At 42.9% G+C, this 25,725-nt stretch overlaps 1 protein-coding gene across 6 annotated transcripts in view; it reads left to right on the top strand.

Moving 5' to 3' along the window:
* Positions 1 to 25,725, top strand: part of PMFBP1 (polyamine modulated factor 1 binding protein 1) — a 133,293-nt gene that overhangs the window by 52,200 nt on the left and 55,368 nt on the right. For 2 of the 6 annotated variants that reach the window (XM_011523358.4, NM_001160213.2), the window contains exon 1: positions 25,280 to 25,473. The gene's annotated coding sequence lies outside the window, so the exon portion shown is untranslated. Of the gene's footprint in view, positions 1 to 23,679; positions 24,482 to 25,279; positions 25,474 to 25,594; positions 25,697 to 25,725 lie in introns of those variants that run through there. The other 4 variants (XM_011523357.4, NM_031293.3, XM_047434734.1 and 1 more) reach the window with 3 other exon arrangements.

The raw sequence follows: 25,725 nt of genomic DNA, 5'->3' as shown, positions 1-25,725 counted from the left end.
TTTATCTTAGTCAATCCTCAGCAGGGAAAGAGCTGCACTCTCTCCTCAGCCACAAAGAAGGGGTGGAGGGAGCTCTCACTGGGTGGGTCAATATTCTGGGGTCCCTGGGGATTCCAAGGCTGACCCCAGTGGAGGAGGAGGGCAGCCGGGGACATAACGTGGCAGACTGCTCTCTCGAGGAAGCCATAACCTTGTCCATGACAGAGTTCCATGTGGCTTTCTCTGTACTCCTCCCAGACACTGCCCATGGAGCCCCGGGTACCCCCAGCCCTTTTAGGAAGACTGCTATTTAAGTGTGTATATGCCTGCTGGCTTCTCCCTGGAGAAAGACAGCCAAAGGTTAAACTAAACCTTTCCTGAGAAAGAAAGCATTATTTCTTGACCATGCATGATGCAGGGTTGCTAACAAGGCCTCCTGGCTTCTCATGCTTTTTTACCTTAGTCAAGCACATTAAATATGTTAATAAAAGATTCCCCAGTGCTTTCTCTATCAGAAGCTTCCAGGTGGCTGCAATGACCATAGGTGCCCAATTACCTGGTGAGGGCATCCCATGACTCACAGATGGTTTTTTCCCTAGCTATTAAAATCTCCATGATCTTCTTTTGCATTGTGGCTTCTGCTGAGTCTGATTGGACTCACACTCTGGTTCGTAGCTGGAACCCACTTTGTACAAAGGGGCAGTGTTTCCTGGACTTGCTTGATCATTAGAGTCACTGGGCTGCTTGTTTAAAATGCATGTTCCCAAGGGGACCTCAGACCTACTGAGTCAGAGTCTCCAGGGCAGAGACCTGAGAATCTGTATGCTTATAATCAAGCAAATGTAAGTCACACTGCACTTGGATTGTAGAGCCTATCAGCAATATTAGGGCTATCTTTCAAAAATTATCTTGCTGACATACTCCTAATGTCTCTCTATAAGGCATTGGGCCAGGAGTCTTCTGGGAAATTCCTAAACATTATTGGTGCAGAATGGCACGAGAGATTGGACAATATTAAAGAGTGGATTGATGGTTGTGGTCCTGGAGATTCCCCAGTGGAGGCACGGATGAATTCAGTCCCATTAATATGAATGTATTCTCTATGCAACCAAATAGTCATCCCATGTGTAAGAAAATAACTTCTTCAACTCAGATTAACCAATGTGCTTACCCAGCTGCTCCACAACAGGAGTGCCGTGCATGTAGAACAGATACCACTCTTTGGAGTGTGAGTGAAATGGTAGGGTTAGATTTTTAGTCCCACTCAGCAGCTTTGCCTATGAGGATTTACAAGACAGGTGTTATGTTTACTGATTGCTAACTGCACATGTCAGAGGTTGGGGGAGGCAGCGTCAAAGATGGCAGTGTTAAAGAAAAAAACCTGGCCAGAGAAGTGCCAGTTCTGTACCACAGAGAAGACACCAAGCACAGAAGAAGCCCCCGTACCCTGTACTCCATTTGTCTAACACAAATGAGTGTTGCCCAGACACCCAACTCTTTGAAGGAATCCTAGATAAAGACTTTGGTGTTGGTACCATTCGTATTGATCTTTCTCCCGTATCTGGGAGCAGGAGGAGGGGTTGCTTAACTTTCAGTTGTTCTGTGGATCCAAAAGAGCATTCATGTAAGGTGGACTCAGGGGCACCTGCAGAAATTAGAGCAACCAGGGTTAGTTTCTGAATCAGTTCAAGAGTTTTTGAAAGCTCCTTCTCTCTCTCTGTCTGTCTCTCTCTCTCTTTCACACACACACACACACACACACACACACACACACACACACACACACACATTCTGTAAGCTCTGAGAGAGAGAGAGAGATTTAACACACTTACAGTCTTTACTAGAGTCCAGAATCATGAATACAAAAATGACTTTTTCAGATTCTGGAGTGGATTGCAGACCTGCAGGCCCTACTCAGCCAAGGAAAGGCAGGACCCCCAGCCCAGGACGGCCCTGGCCAAGCCTAGCTCAGGCCGCAGCCTTTGTGTGGGACAGCAGCATCACCTAGTGCTGCTGAGGTTTAAGTACAAGCTTTTCCCTGAGAACGCTCCAATGTGATCAAACTGTATAACAAGATCAATTATCCACATTAATGAAAGAGAGTAGTAGTATTTACAGCAATCCCAAACTGGAGATAACGTCCAGGTCTGTTTTTCACTTAGCTTGGAATGTATTCAGTGACTATGTAGCATTTGAGTTCTCCATAAAGTAACATAAAAGAGTGTATGGCTGAGCTCATGCAGGCAGGATGGATGGGGGAGGCAGGAGGGGTTAGCAAGGTTAAAGCGGGGCTGGGTTCTTGTGTCAGTTCAGGTCCTTCAAGAAGCAGATGCTGAGATGGTGTTAGAAGTGCAAGAGATTCAGTGAAAGATAAAGGGAGAGGGAGCAGAAGCGGGCAGGGAGAGCCGTCAGACTTCAGTGTAGGTCTGACATCTGTGAAAAGGAGAGGGGGAAGGAAGGAAGATGAGGTAGGAGGAGCCTCAGACTGCAGTGCGGCTCAGAGAACAGCTTGACCAGCCCAACAGGACAATCTGGTGCAAAGATGACCTATTGAGGAGTCCTGCACTGGCCAGAAAACGTGGGCCCTGGTGCCATCGCTGCACCCAGTCATTGGCCGGAAGCTGCCCTGGAGACATTGACAGCTGGAGGCTGTCCGCAAAGTGCACTCCCTGGGGCAAGTTCTCTGTCAAGGGAGACCCGAACAGCAAGCCTCCATGGCTGCTGCAGATTGAAGGGAAGTTGTCTCAAATCACATATTTACCTGCAGATCCCCAGGTCCACAAACTGTCAGAAACAGAATGAAGGAACACTATGGATTGATGCATCTAAATTGATGAGTGTAAAATCTAGCACTTGTTCTCATACCATTAACTAGTGTAAGCCAGAAAGAGGAACTCCTGAGCAGCCTTTATTAAGCATGGATTTTTAAACAGCAAGTGGCCTGCCTTCTGAGGTGTGTTCTCTGCCCAGGAAACCAAGTTCAGTGTCAACAACCTAGAACACCAACAGTGCCTTAGCTTCTTTGTCAAGGATGGATTTGGGTCTGAAAATATCTATATCCTGCCCAAAGCATGAACAGTGACCTCACATCTCTACCGATTCTCTCACTCCCATGAATGGTCTTTAATACTATTGACCACGAGATACCACTGCCCAGATGATATGACCTGATCTCTGTATTTAAAAACATTAAGGAACTTGCTCAAGCTCAAAGATTTTCAGAAATCCAATTTGGGTGAATTAAGAAACACAGATAGCACTACAGGCAAGGGCACAAAGTTTTCAAATCACAGTTAAGCCACAAAGGCCCAGGATGCCTTGAATAAAAAATGCAACGAATCGCTTGACAAAGAATCTTGAAAAGATCTAAGGATGGAAGAAAGCCCACTGCAGAAATAGAGAAAGGATGAGGAAGAGCCAAAAAAAAAGAATGTGCAACTCTTTCTAAGGCTCATGGAGGAAAGATAAGAGCAGCTGCAGAGAAAGCAGAATGAGTTTTTAAACTGGTCTTTAAAAAAGAAAAATAAAGAAAGGGAGCATAGATAATTAGGAAGTAATGAAGACTTTTAAATATAGATGTTGAAATAAACCGGGTAAGGGAATACTTGAAAACATGGTACAATATGTAAATCAGCAGGTCCAGAAATGCACATTCCCCAACCTTAAGAGAATTAGATAATGAACTCGCTGAACTACTGACCATTATTTTCAAAGGCTCCAAGAGATCAGGGGACTATAAAATGAAAATATTTGACCAGTCTTTTACCAAATTAAAAAAAAAAAAAAAAGCAGCCTTGATAATTACCATACCTGCCACTATAGACTCTTCCACCTCATGGGGAGGTTGTAATGACAAATGGAACTAGAAATATTAACCCGCCCTGTGGAAAACTTGGGGAGGTGTGGTTAGCTAGCGGTGGTATGTGTGCGCCATGCTGATGGACTGGAGCCGGGCACATATGATTGGGGTAATACAGATGTTTGAATTTTTGTTCAATAGAATGCATTTGGGGGTTGTGTAATTGTATTTCTTTTTTTTTTTTTTTCCTCACTGATATAAAGTCAGTTTGCATCCCCAGAGAGCACTGCAAGGGAGAAAAGTTCTTCATAGTAGGTATCAATGATTTTAAATTTTCCATCCACAGATGGATAATGGACTATAGGTCACATAAAAAATCTCCAAGCTTTCTCTTTAATAAATAGACTAGTACAAGCTATTTTTCATTTTCAAAAAATAATATATTACTCTTCTAGAAAGACAAAAAATACAGATAAGCAATAATGATAATCACCTAAAATCTTGTCCCTGTTTATACAATTTGGTGTTTTTGCCTCCACAATTTTTTTCATACATATAAATTTATTTATTTATTTATTTTTAGAGACAGAATCTCACTGTGTCACTCAGGCTGGAGTGCAGTGGCACCATCATGGTTCACTTTAGCCTCAAACTCATGGGCTCAAGCAATCCTCCCACCTCAGCTTCTTGAGCAGGTAGGACTACAGGTGTGCACCACTACACCAGGTAATTTTTATTTTATTTTATTGTAGAGACAGAATCTCACTCTGTTGCCCAGGCTGGTCTCGAGCTCCTGGCCTCAAGTGATCCTCTCACCACAGCCTCCCATAGTGCTGGGATTACAGGCGCGACCTACCATGCCTGGCCAGAAGTTATTTTTATAAAAATTAGAGGGTCCTCCATATAGGGTGGTCCATGTAACTGTTGTTATTATATAATTGTTATGTATTATATAGCTGCTTTTTTCCCACTCAATATAACGTGCACATTCTTTCATCATTTTAAATCACTGCATATTTAACCAATAACTTTTGGACATTTAGATTATGTCTTCTTTTTTTTTTTTTTTTGAGACAGAGACTCCCTCTGTCACCCAGGCTGGAGTGCAGTGGCAGGATCTCGGCTCACTGCGACTTTCGCCTCCCGAGTTCAAGCGATTCCGCTGCCTCAGCCTCCTGAGCAGCTGGGACTACAGGCATGTGCCACCACACCTGGCTAATTTTTTGTATTTTAGTAGAGACGGGGTTTCACCATATTGGCCAGGATGGTCTTGATCTCCTGACGTGGGATGGTCTTGATCTCCTGATCTGCCTGCCTCGGCCTCCCAAAGTGCTGAGATTACAGGTGCAAGCCACCACACCCGGCCCTGCAGTTAACATCCTTAAAAAAACATCTTTGCATACTTATTCTATTCTTCCCTTAGAATAAAATCCTGTAAGGGGTAATGCTTGGCCCATTGTATTTTTTTAAGGACTTTAATTCCATCCATATTGCTAAATTACTTTCAAGAAAAAAAGGCAATTAACACTCTACAAACAATACATGAAACTGCAAGTTCCCTTCTACGTGCACCAGCTAGATTTAATAAAATTAAAAATTTTTCAGTACAATAACATATTTAGCATCCTATAACAGTTGAATTGGGACCATTAGGTGAAACAAAATACCTGAGGAAATGTGTGTGTTTTCTAAAGTGACATTAAACTGTTAGGGAATTCTGTCTCTCTCTCTCCTCTCAAACGTGTGTGTCTCTTCTTCCCTCCCTCCTTCCATCTCTTTCTTTCTCTCTCCTTCCCTCCCTCCTCTTAGGAGGATACATATGTGATAAAAGTATTTTTTAATCACAGGTAAATAATAAACACAAAATTCAGGATGGTGGGGAGAGGCAAGGGTCAGAGGAATGCCACAAGGAGAAACACTTAGAAGCCACATATTGGTAATGTTTCAGCTCGCAGGGGATCACACACACGCATTTGATCATTCTGCTTCATAGCTTATGTATATGCTGTAAGCATCTGAATGTATTAGCTACAGAGTGGGGATTATGCATTGCACACTCAGTAGTTAGCAAATTTCATTTTCCAGTATGTAAAATCGGGTTCTCATGTCCCCAAAGAGTAGAAGCAGTTTTTCACTGTTAAAACCAGGCCCGATACTTTACTAGCTGGGTGCCTGCCAGGACAGAGCCTCTTCAGAGGATTCCAGAATTCCCCAGAGAGGTGGCTGTGCCCTCATACCTCAAGAGGAGAACTCCTCCCTGCTGGAGAACCAGGAATGGAGAAAAATGAACCAGAACGTACAATAGATACAACTTCTCAAGGAATTACCTAAGGCTCAGGACTATGACCTTACCCATTCTTCTGTACTTTTCTAAAAATAGATCCCCAATTCTGGTAAACTGTTCAGAGAAAATAGCCTATTTTTAAAGGAGAGCTCCTAAATAGCTAAATCATTTTGCTTAAGCAATGAGCCAAGTCGCTTCTAATGAGGTTGTAGCATTACTGGAAATAAGAGATATATTTAAATAAATAGTCCATACATTGCTCCAATAAATCACTTGAAAAATATTCTCGAATGTACTAAATGTGTTTTTAGTGGCATGTGCCTGACCTTTCTGGAAGAAGAAAGATAATGCTAGAACATTTTGAGAATAAACATTTATCCAAATTAGTAGGCAAGACACTAGTAAAATTGTTTTACATTTTCTTAACACCTTTAACTATACCCTGCGCTTCCGAAACAATTTATTTTTCCTACCTTTAATAAAATACAGAATCTGTCTGTAAAGTAGCAGGAATATAGGGGCAGAAAGTTTTTTGATGACCCAATGAGAAATCCTATAATGGCCCTATTACCTCAAGGCCTCGGGCAGGATGGATGGATGTATTTGCAGCATTTCCTGAAATGACTTGCAGGCCATAAAATTTTCATGTTTTATGACTGTATTTCCAAGTGTTTTAAAATCAGTGTCATGTTCTTTTTTCATAATATTCACAATAAAAATGTGAATAAGACCCATTCATTCATTCAACAAACACACGAAGAACCTTCTCTTTGCCTGGTACTCCGTTAAGGAAGCCTAGGTCTTCCCTCAAAGTCCTCACGATCTAAGATGTCCTATAAAGCTTCCTGTATTAAATCTGCAACTGAACCTGTTAATGTTATGCTTCACTGCCTGAAAGAAATAATAATTACATTGTGCCCCAAAGAGTGTGTGCTCAGATTGAGGTGTGCCAGAGAGAAGTTCTGAGGCTCAGTCTTCTTCATCTGGTCTGCCTCCCCAACCCCACCTCTCTCTCACCCCTGCAACTCTCTGTTCTCCCGCCTGCCTCTGACCCCAAGCTAGGCTCACTCTCTTTCCTTCCATCCCATTTCACTCCCTCTCTGTCTCTCCCTTTCCCTTTCTTTTCTCTCTCTCCCCTCTTCCCTTTATTATGAAACTTCTAGAAAGACATTCACAGCACTCTCTCTTCCCATCAGTTCTTCATCAGTAAGTGTAACTGCAGTCCTCTGTTCTACCCACCCTGTGTTCACTGAGGTCAGAAGCAAAATTGCCTTTGCAAAGATTATGACAGTGAGAGAAATCAAGCATGGCTGAATCCATCTTGCCTCTAGCTTCACGAGCTGGCTGTCCACACTCATTCCTGGGTATAGGCCAAGTTAACCATGGGAGGAATTTCGTTCATGGTTTAACTTTGAAGCAAGGATGATAATAGTCCGTCCCTAAAACCAACCCCCTCCTTGCTCAGAGACTGAATAAAACTAACAAAGGTCAGGAGATTAGGATTATGGGAGAGGCCTGAATTCTACTTAAAATGTAGACATAGTTTCTATAATCCCTTACTGCTTAGGAGTCATGTAGCCAAAGGTCACAAGATTTGTGACTTCCCCGATTGCTGCTATAGATAACGTTGCTAGTGTAGAACCTAAGATTGGTTTTTTGAGATTTTTTTTCAGAATTTTGCATTCTAACAACTGACTGACTGCCTGCCAAGACCCGTGACTCATGACTCAACCAGTCCCATGACACTCACCCAGAGGCAGACTCAGCATACAAGGACTATTTTCCACACCCCTATGATTTTATCCTCAACTAATCAGCAGCACCCATTCCCTAGCCTCCTACCCACCAAATTATCCATTAAAAACCCTACCCTCTGAGTTATCAGGGAGACTGATTTAAGTAGTAACTGTCTTCCATGTGACTAGCTTAGCATTAATTAAACTCTGTCTTTACTGCAATACCATGGTCTCAGTGAATTGGTCTTATCTTTGCAGCAGGCAGGAAGACCCCTTGGGCAATTACAGCAGAGGCTCCTAATCTCCAAAAGAATGGCTTGGTTTTCCTCTTCTTACTTGAACTTCTGTAGCAGCTGACACTGTGGACTCTGCCGTAATTTATCTTCCTTCTCCTCTTTGGAGAGGCCCCTCCTCTGGTTTTCCTTCTGTGGGCTCCTTCTCAGCCCTCTTTGCCAGTTCCCTTTCTCTGCCCATTCCTCCAAGATTGGCACTCACACCCCAGACAGCATCTCTTCTTATGCCACTGTTCTGACCACTGGATCTCTCCTTGTGGGCCACACGTGGTCACACATCAGTGCCCTTGAACAAGCTTGTCCCATTCATCTTCCAGGGACTGGCTTAAAGGGACGGCAGCATGTGGTGGCTGAGGGCATGGACTCTGGAGCAAGATGGTGTGAGTTCAAATCCTGGTTCTGCATTGATGAGCTGTGTAGCCTTGGGAACATTACTTAACCTCTCTGTGCCTTAGTTTCCTCAACTGTAGAATGAAAATAATAATAGTGTCTGCCTCTGGAGGTTGTTGGGAGAATTAATGAGCTAATATTTGTAAAGTCCATAGCACGGTGCCTGGCACATCCAAAGTACTGTGTATTTGTTCAAAAAAAAAAAAGTCAACACTAAAAGTATTTTCCAAATGCCCAAGCTTTTAATCATCTGCTACCGACTGTTTGTCACCATGTGTTACACTTTTTAGATAAGTGCCTCCCCAGGGCACTCTGCGCTCCCTTGGTCGGGGACCCTGTCCTAGTCACCTCTAAATCCTAGCCTGGCACAAGGCAGGTCTCTGCAAATGTTTGCTAAATGAGCAGGAGGTCATAACAGATGGGTTTTCCATGGCCGCCGAGCTTAATAGCAAATTAGGGAGTATGGGCATAGAATTTCCTTGGGAAGTATTTTGGCGGGGGTGGGGTTGAGGTAATGTTAGGCACCAGCGCTTTCCATTCCCACAACTTCTTCAGTCCAGTAAACTGATCAGCTGACAGGAGCCATAATCATGCCAAGCCCAATTAATCCACACCAGAATGGCACACACTGTACCTTTCTGTATCCCATCAGTTGAGTTTTATTTTCCATCCTTCATACCTGTTTCCTTCTCTGTGTGTACTTTATGAGCTTCATATGTAAAGCATGAAAAATCCAATAAAACATGAAAACCACAAGTCAACAGTGCTTTATTCAAGAATATTCCTATTAATCAAGAAACTTTCCCAAGTAATGCGCTCAATCCACCCACCAGGTGCCAGGTGGCAATAGGTGCTTAGGGAGAGGGTTAGGGAGCACGTAAGAGAGAAGAACTGTGCCCCCTGGCCTTGGAAAGCTCTCAGTGCTGTCTACGATTAGAATACACCATCCCCTTCCTAGGAAAACATCTTTAGAAATCAAAGGTGTTCATAACCCACTAATGCATCTGTACCTTTAATTAGCCCAATCGAGCATATAACTTGGAAAAATCTCTCACCTCTTTTGCTCCTTTCAACTAGTTTCTGAACACTTCATTTTCTAGTAAGATTTCACTGCATAACAAGCAGTAATGAAATGACCAATATTAACCCATTGTTATATTAAACAAACTACATCATTGGCTGACGGCATTCTATAGTCTTGGGGTTTGAAATGGGTTCTATCCTATGATGAAAACATTTGGCATTTGCCTAATGAGACCATTCTTGTACCTACAAAGGAAAAGAGACATTGTATTAAAGCATTTCATGTTAATGACAGCATGTTCAGCACTTTCTGCTCACAGCCACATCTGTGGGTGAGGCAGGTTTCTCGATATTAAATGCTGCATTTGGGCCCATATTCTTAGTGAGGTGTCTGATTGGCTACTCCCCAAATATAACTTAAATTGGCTTAAAATAGAACAATCACATGCTAACCCGGTAGCATTAGCAACTCTATTAACAGCCAATTTCACATCCACACCAGAGGGAGTAAAAGGTAATTTGCTCATTATCAACACCCTTCGGCAGTGGGAGGAAATGACTGTTCATCAGAAAGTATTTTCCAACATAACAATAGCAGTGCCCATATGTAACCACCTCACTCTCCCTTCCCTTCCACGACTTGATCACTGAAGAACCGCTATAGGAAAAAGGCTTTGCAATATAAACGGGTTCAATATAAGAAGTCTCACCACTCCCCCTCCAAAATCAGCCCTACCATCATCTCACCTTTGCTCTTTAGGGTTACAAGTGAAGTGTTTGGCAAATCACCCTACAGGGTACAGGGTGGATCCCAGTATAATATTAGATAATATCATGTAGACATTGTCTAGACCAAAAAGCTTCCCCATCCCTATGACTTGACTAGTACCCCAGACAGCTTTAACCCAATGAGTTGAATGTGGACAGATCTTGGAGCCCACTGTAACCAAATCTATAATCTGCAGACTCATCTAAGGATGGAAGATACTGGACCATTCAAAATTGTAGTATTGTCCTAATGATTATTTTAAATCGCATCCACTATCAATCTTTATTTAGTAAATGTTTCTTCAGAAGTTAAGTTTCTTTGTTTGCTTGCTTTTATTATTTTTTTATTTATTTTTTTTTTTTTTGAGATGGAGTCTCACTTTGTCACCCAGCCTGGAGTGCAGTGGTGTAATCTTAGCTCATTGCAACCTCCACCTCCCGGATTCAAGCGATTCTCCTGCCTCAGCCTCCTGAGTAGCTGGGATTACAGGCGCACACCACCATGCCCAGCTAATTTTTGTATTTTTAGTAGAGATGGGGTTTTGCCATGTTGGCCAGGCTTGTCTCGAACCCTTGACCTCAGGTGATCTGCCCACTGAGGCCTCCCAAAGTGCTGGGATTACAGATGTGAGCCACCTCGCCCAGCCTGTTTGCTTGCTTTTAATTGCTGCTTAATAAACTTCTATAAATGTGTTTATATATTTGGATATAATATACTGTTACAGTGACAAATTAAAGAAATAGATTTCACACCTATCACTCTGCTCAACTGGCTATTTTTATTTGAAAAGAGTCATCTCCTAACTCCTGTCTAGCTTTCTAGGCCTTCTGCTCTGCTTCCTCTCTCTGTCTATTCGGTCTCCCACACACAGAGGTCAGGCTAATGTACACGAAGCAATTGTTGATGTGTCTCTCCCCAGCTCGAAAACCTTCATGGCTCCCTGTTGCCTCTAGATAAATTTCAGACTCTGAATTCTCGCATCTACAGCTCTTCCCATTCCAGCCTCTCCTTCTCTTCCAGCTTCAGCTTGAAAATTTCATTTCTCCTCAACATCTTAGAATATAGCCCATCTTCATCTGTCAGAATCAAAAGTAGGATCAAATGCAACTATCTCCATAAAATCTTTCTTAATTATTTGAATAGAAAGTGATCCACTGCACCTCTGAATAGCAGAAGCCATTTGGAACATACTGCAACTTCAAAGTAGATTACAGGGGAGCTTCTTCCAGAACTTGAAAATGAGAGAAAAGTTATTCTGGGAGAGCTGAACCATACCCAGCATCACCTTAGGGAGACAGGATAAATCTCAGATCTGCAAAACTTGACTGGACCAGAGTAGTCTATGTAAGAAAGAGCTTATCAATCTCATGATGCAGACGGGTGGAACATATAGTCCCAGAGGGAATGATGGGTGGACCCCTCCTAGCTCTGTCCTGGAGAGAGGGAGCCTTAGCCAACAGACTGATTGTATCAGCCCCAAGATCTTTGCTATCTAAGATAGTTACAAGATGCTGTCCTAGTCAGTTATAATTCAATATCAGATTATTTCAGTATCCCTTACTTCTGATTCTGTCACCCAAAACTCTCTTTGGCTTCTCATATTGGTCTACCTCTGGAGAGAGTGTGTGCTGGCCATGTGGACTGAAAATATTCCAGTTCTCATGACAGTGATCTCTTACTGCAAATTAGTTAATTTGACTCTTCATTCTTTCAGTAAATATTACTGAGCATCCACTATGTGCCAGTTATTTCTCTACTCACTTCAGATAAGATGGTGAACAAAAATTTACAATCCCTTGATCTATGGAGTTTGCAGTCTAGAGGGAGATACACACAAGTATGCCCACAATTCTAATATAGTGTGAGGACTGCCCTGGTGGGGACGTTCAGATCAGGAAGGGAGCATGTGCTTGGAGGAAGAACCCAAGCTTGGGGATTCAGAGAAGGCTTTGTAGAGGAAATGATATTTACCCTGAGTTCTGAGTGAACCCAAAGATGATGGGAGGAGAGAAATGGAATAATGCACATAGCCGTAGCACAAGCAGAATGGTCCAAGGACTGGGTGTGTGTCCAAGAAACTGAACATAGTTCAGTAGAGCTCTGGCGGGAAACGTAAAGAAGGGCAGGGAGGAGGGTCAGAAAACAGGACACAAGGCTGTGCACGGTGGCTCATGCCTGTAATCCCAGCACTTTGGGAGGCCAAGCTGGGTGGATCACTTGAAGTCAGGAGTTCAAAACCAGCCTAGGCAACATGGTGAAACCCCGTATCTACTAAAAATACAAAAATTAGCCAAGCCTGATGGTGCACAGCCATAATCCCAGCTACTCAGGAGGCTGAGGCAGGAGAATCACTTGAACCTGGGAGGCAGAGGTTGCAGTGAGCCAAGATTGCACCACTGCACTCCAGCCTGGGTGACACAGCGAGACTCCGTCTCAAAAAAAAAAAAAAGAAAACAGGACACAGATGAAGAAAGGCCTCCTAAACCATTTAAGGAACACTTTACCTTGAGAGCAATGGATAATTATTAAAAGGCTTTAGGCAAGCAAATGACATGATCGTATCTCTAGTTGTTGGAGGAGTGGGCAGTAGTATTGGGGTTGAGGAGAAGAGGACCAACATAGAAGATTAATTGGGAAGATCCAATAGGCAGGACATGGTAAGTGATGGGATGAAGGGTCTGGGAGTTGAAGTGAGTGAGAGAGAAAGACAAAGAAGAATCAAGATGGTGCTTAGATTTCTGGGCTGGAACAAATGAAGTAGACGGCAGTTCCTTTCACTGATGCAATATATAGTAGTGGTTAAGAACAAATTCCAGAGTTGGGCTACTTGAGTTTGAATTCCACCTTTACCCCATGGTACTCTGTGATCTTGGGCAAGTTTATTCACATCTCTGTGCCTTAGTTTCTCATTTACAATAAAAATAACCACAGTACCCATAGGGCTGTTATGCAGATTACATAAGTTAATAGTGAAGTGCTCAGAATTGTGCCTCTCCTTCTCACACAATAAACGTGATGCAAGTTTGTTAAATACCTTAAAAAGGTGATATCAGAGGAGAAGCAGGTTTGGAGTAGAGGCTTACAGATTTAGTGTTGGAGAGATTGAATTGCAGAAGCCTGTGGGTCAGTGGAGCACACCTGTGTAGAAGGCAGTTGTTATCCAAATCTGGAGCTCCAGATGGAGAGCTGTGCTGGAGATGTTATTGTAGGAACAACCTGATATGGATGATAACTGAAATCTGACAAGAGAGAACAAGACCAGGGAGGATGTAGAGTGAGAATGGGGAGGACAAGACCAGGAAGACCAGGAAGAACCTGGGACCATTTCAGGAATGGCCAGAAGGAGAGGACTTGCCAAGGAAGCGAAGGAGCCGTCAGAAGAGCAGGAGGAAATCTGGGAGAGAGTCTCAGAAACCAAGGACAGAAAGCATTTCTAGAAGGAGAAAGTGCTTCTAGAAAATATTTCTAGAGGTAGCCACTGATGTCAAGTTTGTGAGATACAATAAGGACCAAAAAGGGCCCCCTGGAGTTGACACCCAAAACTTTGACCTTGGCCATTCAGAGTTGCTGCCACCAGGGTAGGGGTGACAAGGTGAATATGGGGAAAGGGGGATAGAGGAAATATCAAGAGGCAGCAAATGCGAACAATTCATCCATGAAGATGAGAAGTGAGGGGCAGAGAGGAGAGAGAAGACGGTGGCTGGAGGAGGGCAGGAGAGGATTTTTTTCCCCAGTATAATAGAAGATAGTTGCTCATAGGTAACTACTGTTATGGGTTTAGTTGTGTTGCCCCCACCCCAATTCATATGTTAAAGTCCTGACCCCCTGAACCTGAGAATGTGACTTTATTTGGAAATAGCATCATTGCAGGTGTAATGAGTTAAGATGAGGTCAACCTGGAATAGGGTGGCCCCCTAATCCAATATGACTGGTGTCCTTATAAAAGGGAAATTTGGAGACAGACATGCACATAGGGAGAACACCATGTAAAGATGAAGGCAGAGACTGGGATGATGAGTCTACAAGCCAAGGAGCACCAAAGGTGGCCAGCAAACTGCCAGAAGCTAGCAGAGAGACATGGAACCAATTCTCCATCACAGCCCTTAGAAGGAACCAACCCCACCAACACCTTGATCTTGGACTCCCAGCCTCTGGAGCCACCTAGAGTGTGGTATTTTGTTACAGTAGCCCTAGGCAACTAATATGCCTGCATATGAGACTTCCTGTTATTTACCTTATAAACTAAGATCCCACCAGGAAGCAGATGGCATGCTCAAGCTGAGTAATTTGTGGACTACTTCATAGAGGAACTAGGCATAAAGCTGTGACCATGGTATAAGGAAGCTACAAGGTGGCATGCAGTGCCCAGGTATAGTAAGGGTAGGTCTTGATCACCTCCAAGCCTCAGGGGCCAGGGGAGAGAGCAGACCTGAAATGGGGAGTGGAGAAAGCCCCAAGACCCTCTGGGGACCTGGCAGGGCAGAATCTGAGGACCCAGTCCCCTCCCCCACTGACCTTCCTGCTGATTTTCCACACTGGTCAACCAAGCAGGGGCCAGAGAGCAGAGGGTAAGAGAGCTGGTTGATGCAGCTCATGGGACACAGAGCGGAGGGGAGAGAGGCAGAGAGTATGTGAGGGGCAAAGGAAAACCCAGCGCAACTCCATATCACATTTTGAAACCAACAGGACTGTTACATATTCAAATGTTGAAACATTAACATGGTAATAAGAAGAACTACTGGAGAGGGAGAGGCTACAGCACAAGGTAGCTCATTATAGGGCATGGGTATTTTTGGAGTTACACTTCTCATCGTACATTTCTGCTTCACCCAATGCATACTGGGTTCTCAGCACTTTTGAATTAATAAGTAAGTTCATATTTATAGTCTCTGTTTCTCCTTTCATCTTTGGAAATAATCACTGAGAGAGACATTTCCTGCTATCCCCTAACCTCTTGGCCTTTTTTTTTTTTTTTTTTTTTGAGGCAGAGTTTCACTCTGTTGCTCAGGCTGGAGTGCAATGGTATGATCTCAGCTCACTGCCACCTCTGCCTCCCAGGATCAAGTGATTCTCGTGCCTCAGCCTCTCAAGTAGCTAGGATTACAGGTGTGCACCACCATGCCTGGCTCACTTTTGTATTTTTAGTAGAGATAGGTTTTTGCTGTGTTGTCCAGGCTGGTCTTGAACTTGTGAGCTCAAAGCCATTTGCCCACATTGGCCTCCCAAAGTGCTGGGATTACAGGTGTAAGCCACCTCTTGACTTTTGAAGTGCCTGAGGTGCACCTCTCTTCTAGAATACCTGTGAGATATGCCGGTGACCAGGAGAATAGGTCTGGTTTAAATTACGGGCTCATACAAAGCAAAGTGACTCCATGAGAAGCTTCTAAACCAAGCTTGTCTAATCAGCGGCCCATGGGCCACATGCAGCCCAAGACAGCTCCGAATGTGGCCCAACACAATTTCGTAAATTTTCTTAAAACATTAGGTGATTTATTTTTTATTTTTTATTTTTAGCTCATCAGCTATCGTTAGTGTATTTTACATGCGGCCCAAGACAATTCTTCTTCTTCCAATGTGGCTCAGGGAAGCCAAAAGATTGGACACCCCTGTAAACAGAAATGTAAACACAGCACAATCAGTAACAATCATTTCTTTTATCTGTGATTATAAACATTTATTTAACTAAACCTACCAGAAAAGGCTATATTATCTAAACTAATACATGTTGGCATGCTATCTTCTTATATGCTTCTATGCTAGATTCAGCCAATGCTTTATTTTATAATGAATATGATCAATTCATTAAGGAAGTCAGCACCATACTCATTGATAAGAATAACAAGTCTTTTATAATGAAGGACGATGTTCACATATTCATCTCAGTTCACCTTTGGGTTTTGCAACCTGAATAATTTTTTAATCTCACAAGGAAGGGCTAGCTTCATGATAGTCTTTTGAGTCCCTGGATTGGGACCCAATGTTTGAGTTGACTCTCAGATGTTTGAAAAGTGGACAGTAGTATAGGGAGAAAACTTGTGAAGCAATGAGAAAAAGCCATAGATAGCTAAGAACTTTTTTAAAAGTAAAAATAAAAGAGGTAAAAGACAAAATGGAAATGAAGTGTGCAGTATCCCAAGGTCCAAAATGTCTTCCAATAAAATGCTCTTCTGTGATGGCCCATAATCCTTATCGAGTATTTAATTTAATTTAATTATTATTATTATTATTTTTTTTTTTTTGAGATGAAGTCTTGCTCTGTCGCCAGGCTTGAGGGCAGTGGCTCGATCTGGGCTCACTGCAGCCTCTGCCTCCTGAGTTCAAGCGATTCTCCTGCCTCAGCCTCCTGAGTAGCTGGGATTACAGGCGCGCGCCACCACGTCCAGCTAATTTTTGTATTTTTAGTAGAGACGGGGTTTCACCATGTTGGCCAGGATGGTCTCGATCTCTTGACCTCGTGATCTGCCCGCCTTGGCCTCCCAAAGTGCTGGGATTACAGGCCTGAGCTACCGCTCCCGGCGAGTATTTAATTTTTTTAAAAAAGGCACACCCAAATGCTGCAGTGCACAGGAATCTTTTCATTTCTTCCACTCATTTTGGGGACAGACATTCCCTTTGAAGGCTCCTGGTTACCGGGACCACGGGAGCACTGGGGTTTCCTCCCTCATTGCCACTTGTGCAGTTGATGTGGTCTTAGTTACAAAGCACCAGACTGCTGCTGCCTTCAGTCAATCTGTTTAGCCAAAGGCCTCTGATTTGTTCACGGTTACTACAACACATACAGAGGGCTGGAGAATTTTTTTTTTTTTTACTATTGATCTAGTGCTTTAAGAGGGGAAAAAATCTCCTTGGCTGTCTAAACACTATCGATCCCTGCTTGGGAGTCGCAGCAGAAGTGTAGAAAGGGCGTGGATGAATTGAAATTTCATTTCCGACAACTTGTTCCTGTTATTTTTACCCTTTTGGTTGGGGAGAAACACATTGCTGCGGCTTCAGTCAATGTGGTCGATAGCTCCACTGAGAAACTCAACACGGCTTCTGCCAGAGGTTTGGCAATGAGACATGATGTTGGATTTAGAGTGTATGAAACTGAAGGATGCTTGTGAAAAGTATGAGGTCTTAACACCAGTGGAGGCAGAACAAGTGGCTCTGGGCTCACTACAATCTACAAGAGCTGTGGCTTTGCAGAAAAGCAGGATTGTGGAGACTAATACCAGTCCCATGTAGGAAGGGCCCAGAGTATGCACCAGAAGCTTCCCTGGCCTCTAAGTGCCTTGCTTCCTACTCTTAGCTGGCTTTCTGCAGCAACCATGGGAAAGGTACCCTTTAGCAAAGCTACATTTCAGCCCTCAAAGAAGACCATGATGTTGAGCCCTTACAGGAGGTTGCTCATGTACTGTGCGGGAAAGGACCCCTGTAGAAACTGGAGCTGCAGGCCTTCAGGGAACTAGTGGACAGACTGGGCATGCAAGGATAGGTATCTGCAGCCAGTGGTTTTGGGAAGCTCCCCACCCCTCGAACACACCAAGTAGGAGATGTGGTTTGGTGCCAGCAGCACCAGCTTTGTTCTTTTATTAGATGTTCAAAGAATACAGGAGAGAACCAGGCTCCTTCTTCCTAATGGCAACATCTGGCATTTATGTAGCCAGGCACCTTTGATCCTTAAGGATCCCAAAGCACTTTACAACCTGCTGTAGTGCTAATGGCCATAGCAACGATCATACAGTAAACATGGCCAAATATTCCCCGTACTGGTTCCCTCCTCTCCATTCTGCAGTGTACACACAGTTTTTCCTTCTGGAAGGAAAGATTCCAGTTTGGATCCAAAACATCTCTTTTGTTTGTCATTTTTTGCTAAGTTTGTTCAGAACTGCCTTTTTTTTTAACAAAAATACTTCACAATCATTTCTTAATAAACAGTACTTCATTTACATTTTCAATTATCTTATAAGCCCATTTCTGCCCCTCATCCTCATCCCTCCCACTCTAGAGAAAGATGGAAATGTTCTTCTCTCCTGGGAGTCAAGAATCTGCATTGCGGATGAGGTTGCAAATTCAGACACAATAAACAGAATTAAGAAAAACTGAGCTGGCGTTTGACAGAAATTGTAAAATGACACTCAGAAATGTTGCTCTTGTGGAAATTACTGATATTAAAATATAAATCAGTGTCTTGTGTTTCCCATAGCACCAGGGGCTCTATTAGGTTATGCAGTTTGATTGCTGAGCTGAACCTAAGAGACTTGGCAGTTCAGAGCTGAAGTTATCACAAAGCATTTAACCCTTCTCCTGCTGGAGAGCAGGCACCTCTGAGAATGCCAGTTGATAATATCGCCCTCAAAAGTCCTTGACTTTTTTGTTGAGCCCTTTGAAACCTGGGAGAAGGTGGAGGAGGGCTGGGTTGGGGAGAGAAGATAAAGGAATTTGGAAAATCTTTTCTTAAGACAAGAGTCTTGTTGCATAGTGCCAGCCCAGGGCAACTCAAGAAGCAGAGTCTATGTTGGAGAGTTTATGGTGGAGAGGGCAAAGAAAAAATGCCCATTAAAATTGTCTGAATATTACCCCATTACATTATTTATTTAATCCCCATAACCACCCTGTAAGGTAGGTATTATTGTTCCAGTTGTTTCCAAATGGGGAAACTGAGACTCAGAGAAGTTAACTTGAGTCAAAATGTGAGCCCTGACTCCATGAAGAAGTGGCTGAGGCAGGGAAAAGTATAAGATGAACCTGGAGCATCTCGTACCCAAAAGTAAGAATGTGCTTAAGAATGGGTATTGTTGAAAGGGCTCAGGAGCCAACCTTTGGCCCATTGGCCAAAGCTGGAACATTTGAGCAACAAAATAAATAACAGTATTAGATTATAGCCCATATAATAGATATCCATGAGTTCATAGTGATGTAAACAATACATTAATTAAATGGGTGAGAAAGAGCAGCTCTTTCTTACAGAAGAGTTCCAGCGAATAAATGTAGAAGAAATAAAGGAAAAAGAAGACCCCCATTAGAATACTACTGTAACAATTATTGCAAGTGAGATCCACCTTGCTAAAGATAGCAGGTGACAGTTTGAAGAAAAACAGGATATTTGTATACTCTTAAAGTATCTCCCTTAATATATTTATTAATTATAGTGGGGAAAAATAATAACTTTATAGTAGATAAACCCAGTAGACACCAGCATAACCAGGTGACCAAGGTCAACATCATCAGGGATAAGATGCATTGATATCATGTATCCCTGACATGATACACTAAGAAGGTGTATGACACACTTGCCCAAAATGCATAGCCTCAATCTCAGCACAGAGAAACATCAGGCACTTTGGGAGACCGAAGCAGCCAGATCGCTTGAGCTCAGGAGTTTGAGACTAGCCTTGGCAACATGGTGAAAACCTGTCTCTACAAAAAAATACAAAAATTAGCCAGGCTTGGTGGTGAGTGCCTGTAGTCCCAGCTACTTGGGAGGCTGAGGTGGGAGGATTGCTTGAGCCTGGGAAGTCGAGGCTGCAGTGTGCCATGTTCACACCACTGCACTCCAGCCTGGGCAACAAAGTAAGACTCTTTCTCAAAAAGAAAAAAAAATCAGGCAAATTCAAATTGAGGGGCATTCTATGAATTAACTTTCCAGTACTGTTTAAAAGTGTCCAAGTCACGGAAGACAAGGAAAGACTGAGGAATTATCATAGATTAGTGGAGTCTAAAGATATAAAACAACTAAATGCAATGTGGAATACTGAATCAGATCCTAGAACAGAAAAAGGACATTAGTGAAAAAACTGGTGACATCCTAACAAAGTATGCAGTTTTGTCCATAGTTTTGGACCCATGTTAATTTCTTAGTTTTGATCATCGTATCATCATGTAAGATGTTAATATTGGGGAAACTGGGGAAAGGGTATACAGGAACTCTGTGTACTATTTTTGCAACTTTTCTGGAAATCTAAAATTATTTCAAAAAGGTCTGTGTGTTCCTGTTCTTTCACCAGAATAGATCACTTCTACCTTTGGGGAGAGACAAAGCAAATCACAAACAACCATAATAAAGGCAGATCATTGTGTTAAAAGAGGTATGGGAAAAGGGCTGTAAGGGGGAAAGGGTACACACCTGGCAAGGCTGCTGTGAGGATTAGCTCTGTTATTTTATGTTCAGAACACTGCCTGGCATATAGTAGCTGCCATACAAGAGTTAATGTGACATGTAGTTTAGGGAAGTTGAAAGAAATGGCAATTGGGTTGGGTCTTGAAGATGTGTGACTTTGGACAGGCAGAAAGAATATATCTCGTAAAGAAAGAAAGAGCAACCAATTGGGAGAATTTTCTCCATGTCAGTCAATGATAATGGCAACAAAGATTAGGTGGACTGTGTACTTCAAAATGGGAAATTTTCCAAAATGGCATGGGAGTAATAGTGGTGGCAGTAGGAAGGCTGAAATGTTCCTCTCTCCCTGACCCTGGCTGTTTCTACTCCATACAGCAAATAGAGAAGGAGAAAGTGAACACAAAGAACTGACATCTCAAGAGAAAACCAAGGCAAGTCGAGAAAGGGAAGGGGCATTTGAGAAACATATCTGTGGAATCGCTGAAGAGCTGGTCCACCATGAAACAGGGGTTCCAAAATGTAGAGTATAAGCAACTAGTGGAGGTGCTAGAAACGGTGAGTGAACTGTAGAGAGAGATCTCTGAGAGTAACTTAAATAAGTGTGTTTTGTCAGTGTCAGCTTGCATTAGATTCAGGTGTATGAAACAGAAAAATTAAAAACAAAATCATTACTTAAGCAAGATAGAAATTGCTCCTTCTATCCAGGGCTGGCAATGATAGTTCCATAGCATTAAGGCCTCATGTTCCAGATGGCTGGTGGAACACCAGGCATTAAGTCAGCATTACAAGCCATTAGAAAGGTGGGAAGAACAAAGAGCTGTGCACTACTTCTCTTTCAGAAGATTTCATGGAAGTCCCCACAATACTCCATTTTATGTCTCATTGACCAAAACTTAGACACATAATCATACCTAGCTGCAAGAGAGGCTAGGAGATAGAGTCTTTTAGATGAGTGCATGCACATCCCAATAAAATGAGCATCTGTTACTAAGGAAAATAAAGAGTATGGATGTTGGAACAGACAACAAACAGCCTCTGTGAAAGGTAGCAAAGAAGAGAGCCAGGGGGAGACATTTTCACCTAGGACAGTGAGTCTCATAAATCCTGGATTCCTTCTCCTGCTCCTCCTGGCCCCTAATTTCTTCTGTCATTCAAAAGCCTCTTTCTGGAGAGACCCAACTAGCCCTACTTTCTCTCCAGAAGAACTCCAGTCCTGGAATTGGACTGTGGCTCAGTCAGTGACATTGGTGTCAGGTTCCTATTCACTGTTACTCTGCAGAACCCCAAACCCTGGCAAAACCATCTCCAACATCATCTCCTCATACCATCTCCCCCTACCAGTTATGCTCTGCACTACCAGGGATTTTCTCCTTTAGAACCGGGTTTGGATTCAAAAAGGCGAACTCTCTGCATGCCAAGCCTCTGCACACCAAGCCTCTGCACATTGGCTCCAATCATACTTTCTGGGTAGAAATAATTAGTATACAATAAGTATCCCTGTCTGTTCATGGGGCTCACACATTTTTAAAAATAGAGAAAACCTTTAGCTCCCTCTCATCATTTCAATAATTAAGAGCTCTAAGATTCATCACACTTTTTTCACTGGTAGGAGGTAGAACATTGGAGAAAAATCTAAAGCCCAACATAAGTAAAGGAAAGACTTATGGCTTAGTATAGGTAAGCCTGAGTTAGTTTGTATTATCCCACAAAGATAGCTTTAATTTTAAACCAAAAAAGCATCTCTTTCCTGAAAACCCGGAAACATGTTTTAGATTAGGAAAAACAGACCCTTGATATTCTTCCATCCAGGCCATGAAGGAAAAGGAATAGTCGGTGTTCCTTGGAGCAACAAGGTTGCTGTAAGGCCAGGAGTCAACCATATACCCAGGCACTTACCAGTTCCTTGGGGAGGGAGTCAAAATTAGCAGTCTGTGATTACGGCATTTGTGTAACCCAATGTGGGCAGGTGGTATGTGAAGTACTAACTGATGTGTTTCACATCCTGGCCTGCTAAAACTGCATTTCAGAGAACTTGTTCACTTATGCCCCTTTTCCTTCCTCTCTCCAAAACCACACAAAGACTGTTTGAGTTAGGAAAGAGGAGGAATAGGGTAACTGGAACATAAGCAGGAGAATTAGACCCTGGTGAGATCTATGAGATGGGGCAGAAGGGAGGGAAAACAATAGATTCCCAGATAGGTTTAGTGATCGAAGGGCAGAGGGACTTTTGATCAAAACCAGGAAAGTGAGCATTCTGTCCTCTTTCTCTCAATACCTTTCAAGGTAAAAGATAGAATGCTGATAGGACAAGTCTAAGAGACAGTCTGAATCTACTCTCATGTGGTGTGTGTGTATGTATGTGTGGTATGTGTGTGCATGTGTTTGTGTCTTGATGGGGAACAGGGAGGAGCATCTTCAAAGGATGAGGAAGTGCCAGATGACCCAAAGCCCTTAGGATGAGGAAGACACAGGATATAAGGTGATATGGTTTGGCTGTGTCATCTTGAATTGTAATCCCACAATCCCCATGTGTTGTGATAGGGAGCTGGTGGGAGGTAATTGAATCATGGGGTGTTTTCCCCCATGCTGTTCTCGTGATAGTGAATGAGTTCTCACGAGATCTGATGGTTTTATAAGTGTCTGGCATTTGCCATGCTGGCACTCATTCTCTCTCCTGCCACCTTGTGAAGAGGTGCTGTCTGCCAAGATTGTAAGTTTCCTGAGGCCTCCCCAGCCATGCAGAACTATGAGTCAATTAAACCTCTTTTCTTTATAAATTACCCAGTTTCGGGTATTTCCATATAACAATGTGAGAACAGACTAATACTAGTACATGTGGCCTACTGACCAGGACAGTGACACCTCGGCATACTCTAGCTAGGAGAGATGCCCATGACCATGGACCACAAGCTTCCCCTGGTGCCAGGATCCAAACTGGGACCTCAAAATCTTAAGCACACTCTGGAGACGCCTTAAAGAGGTTGAGAGAATCATGAACTGTGAGGGAATCATGAACTGATTCATTTTTAACCTGAAAGTCGTGGTGCTTTCTCAGAAATAACTAAGATTGTGTTTTCTGCCATTTGGTGAAAATGGGGCTAAACAAAAACACTGAGTAATAGAAAGAGTTACTTTCTCTTTTTGCACACCTGACTTGATACTTGCTACCTTAGTCACCCATTTGAGGTGTGGTGTTAGGTGTTTCTTGGGAATCTGCAAGGTGCTCTGATAGTAGACTGAGGGAAGGCACAAAACATCACTAGAAGCTCTGACCAAGTTTTTGTTTTCACTACAATCATTTCTTTAGGCACAGCTGTCACCAAGAGAAGTCCTACTTTGAAAAGCAGATGGCAGGAGTTTTGAATACAAAAAAGGAGTTGCCTGGGCAGATGGCAGTAGACAAGGCATGAAGAAATGAAGGTCTCAACAGAGACGCAAGAGGCAGAACAGAATATGTAAGAACAAGGGTTCAAGAAGAGGGAGACATGAGCAAAGTCCTGGCTTCAGAGAGTCAGTAGCCGGGGATCTGGTAGAGAGTCCCTGCCTCTGGGATGAGCCCTTCCTCCACAAAATATCTGTCCAGCCATACTCCTCAGTCAGACAGCACTGTGAAGGTTCACATGGCATTTCGTAAAGCCTGTGGGGCTCCCCCAAAACACTCTTCCCTATCCATCTGGCAAACATTACTGTCAAATGTATCAAAAACTTATCATATAACACTTCCAGTTTTTTCATCATAAGCCCTTCCAAACTGCCTGCTGCTATTGTTAATGACTGAAGATTCTGACATCTCCTTCATGGAACAAACTCCAGCTCTCTTTTTTTCTTCCTACTTACCTTACTTAGTAAATTTCAATATATTTTCATGCAAATGTTAGAACCTATGCCTTCTACTTTTCCTTCGAAATGCTCTTGGCTCTTGCAACTACAGCTGTGTAACTCCATAGCGGATGAAACCATCACAATCTAGAAAATCATTTCTCTGTCTTTTGGACAAGATTTCATTTGATTTCAGAATCATCTCCTGACTATCCAGTGGGCTTGCCTGCAAAGAAGTATGATTCTCAAGGATACATTTGTTCCATTACAACTTTTTGTATGATACTTGGGTGAGTTCATAGTTCCTCCTAAAGAAAGGTGTCCATCGTGGTAGAGCACTGAATCAGTGAACTTTAAAGCTAGGAAAGACTTCTAAAGGCCATTTATTATAGCTTCCTAGCTTACAGAAGCAGAAATGAAGCCTCAGAGATATGAAGGCCTTTGCAAAGGCCACTCCTCCAGTGAGGTGCTGAACCAGGTTTAGAAGCTTGGTGGCCTAGAATCCTGTTTAGTGTTCTTTTATGCCACGCTATTTTTAATCTTGCTTGACTAGTGTGGAAGTCATTTGTGAGTTCGCCAGTACAGGCATACCTCGTGTTACTGCTCTTCACTTTACTGTGCTTCACAGATATTGCATTTTTAACAAATTGAAGGTTTGTAGCAATCCTGCATCAAGCAAGTCTATTGGCGCCATTTTTCCAACAGCATGTGCTCCCTTATGTCCACATCAGCATTTTTTTAGCAACAAAGTATTTTTAATTAAGTTATGCACCTTGTTTTCTTAGACATAATACTATTGCACGCTTAGTAGACCACAGTATAGTGTAATCATAGGTTTTCTATGCACTGAGAAACCAAGAAATTTGTGTGACTTGTCTCATTGTGATATTCGCTTTATTTTGGTGGTCAGAAACCAAACCCGCAATCTCTCTGACATATGCCTATATTTCTTTGAGGAGGTAAAGGAAGAAGTTAGGCATGGCCATGTGACTTGTTTTGGCTAATGAAATGTGAGCAGAAGCAAAGTGTTTCACTTCCGCTTTAAGAACCAGTAGGTGATTCACCAAGTTCCCTTTCTGCTACCATGGCAACAGGCAACATACTAGATAATAGAAGTTCACCAGCTGAGGACTACGAGGATATTGAGGACAATGTGGAGCAGAGCCCCAGCTGACTCATAAAGGACATGTAGCATGAGTAAAAAATAAACCTTCACGGTCGTAAGCCACTGAGACTTGGGGGTTGTTTGTTACTACACCATCACCTAGCCTGTCCCCACCAGGTGAGCCTGAGCCACACCTCCATTTCCATGATGCACCTCTGTGCATGAAGACTTCAGAGGGTACTCAATGCAGGAAATCAGAATTCAGCTCCATAAAACATTCCAGATTCCACATATCACCAACATTCTTTCTTCCTCTTGGCTTATATTAGGGATAGGGGATGTGGTTTGTTACAAAGGATGAGTATTTTGATAGCTTCTCATTCCTTGAACTATTCTGCAGGTAAGTTCCTGGTGGAAATTCCTCTATTC

The sequence above is a fragment of the Homo sapiens genome, chromosome 16, assembly GCF_000001405.40.
Source record: "Homo sapiens chromosome 16, GRCh38.p14 Primary Assembly".
Lineage (NCBI taxonomy): Eukaryota > Metazoa > Chordata > Mammalia > Primates > Hominidae > Homo > Homo sapiens.
The sequence above is the reverse complement of the archived record's forward strand: the minus strand, read 5'-3'. Positions and strand labels throughout refer to the sequence as shown.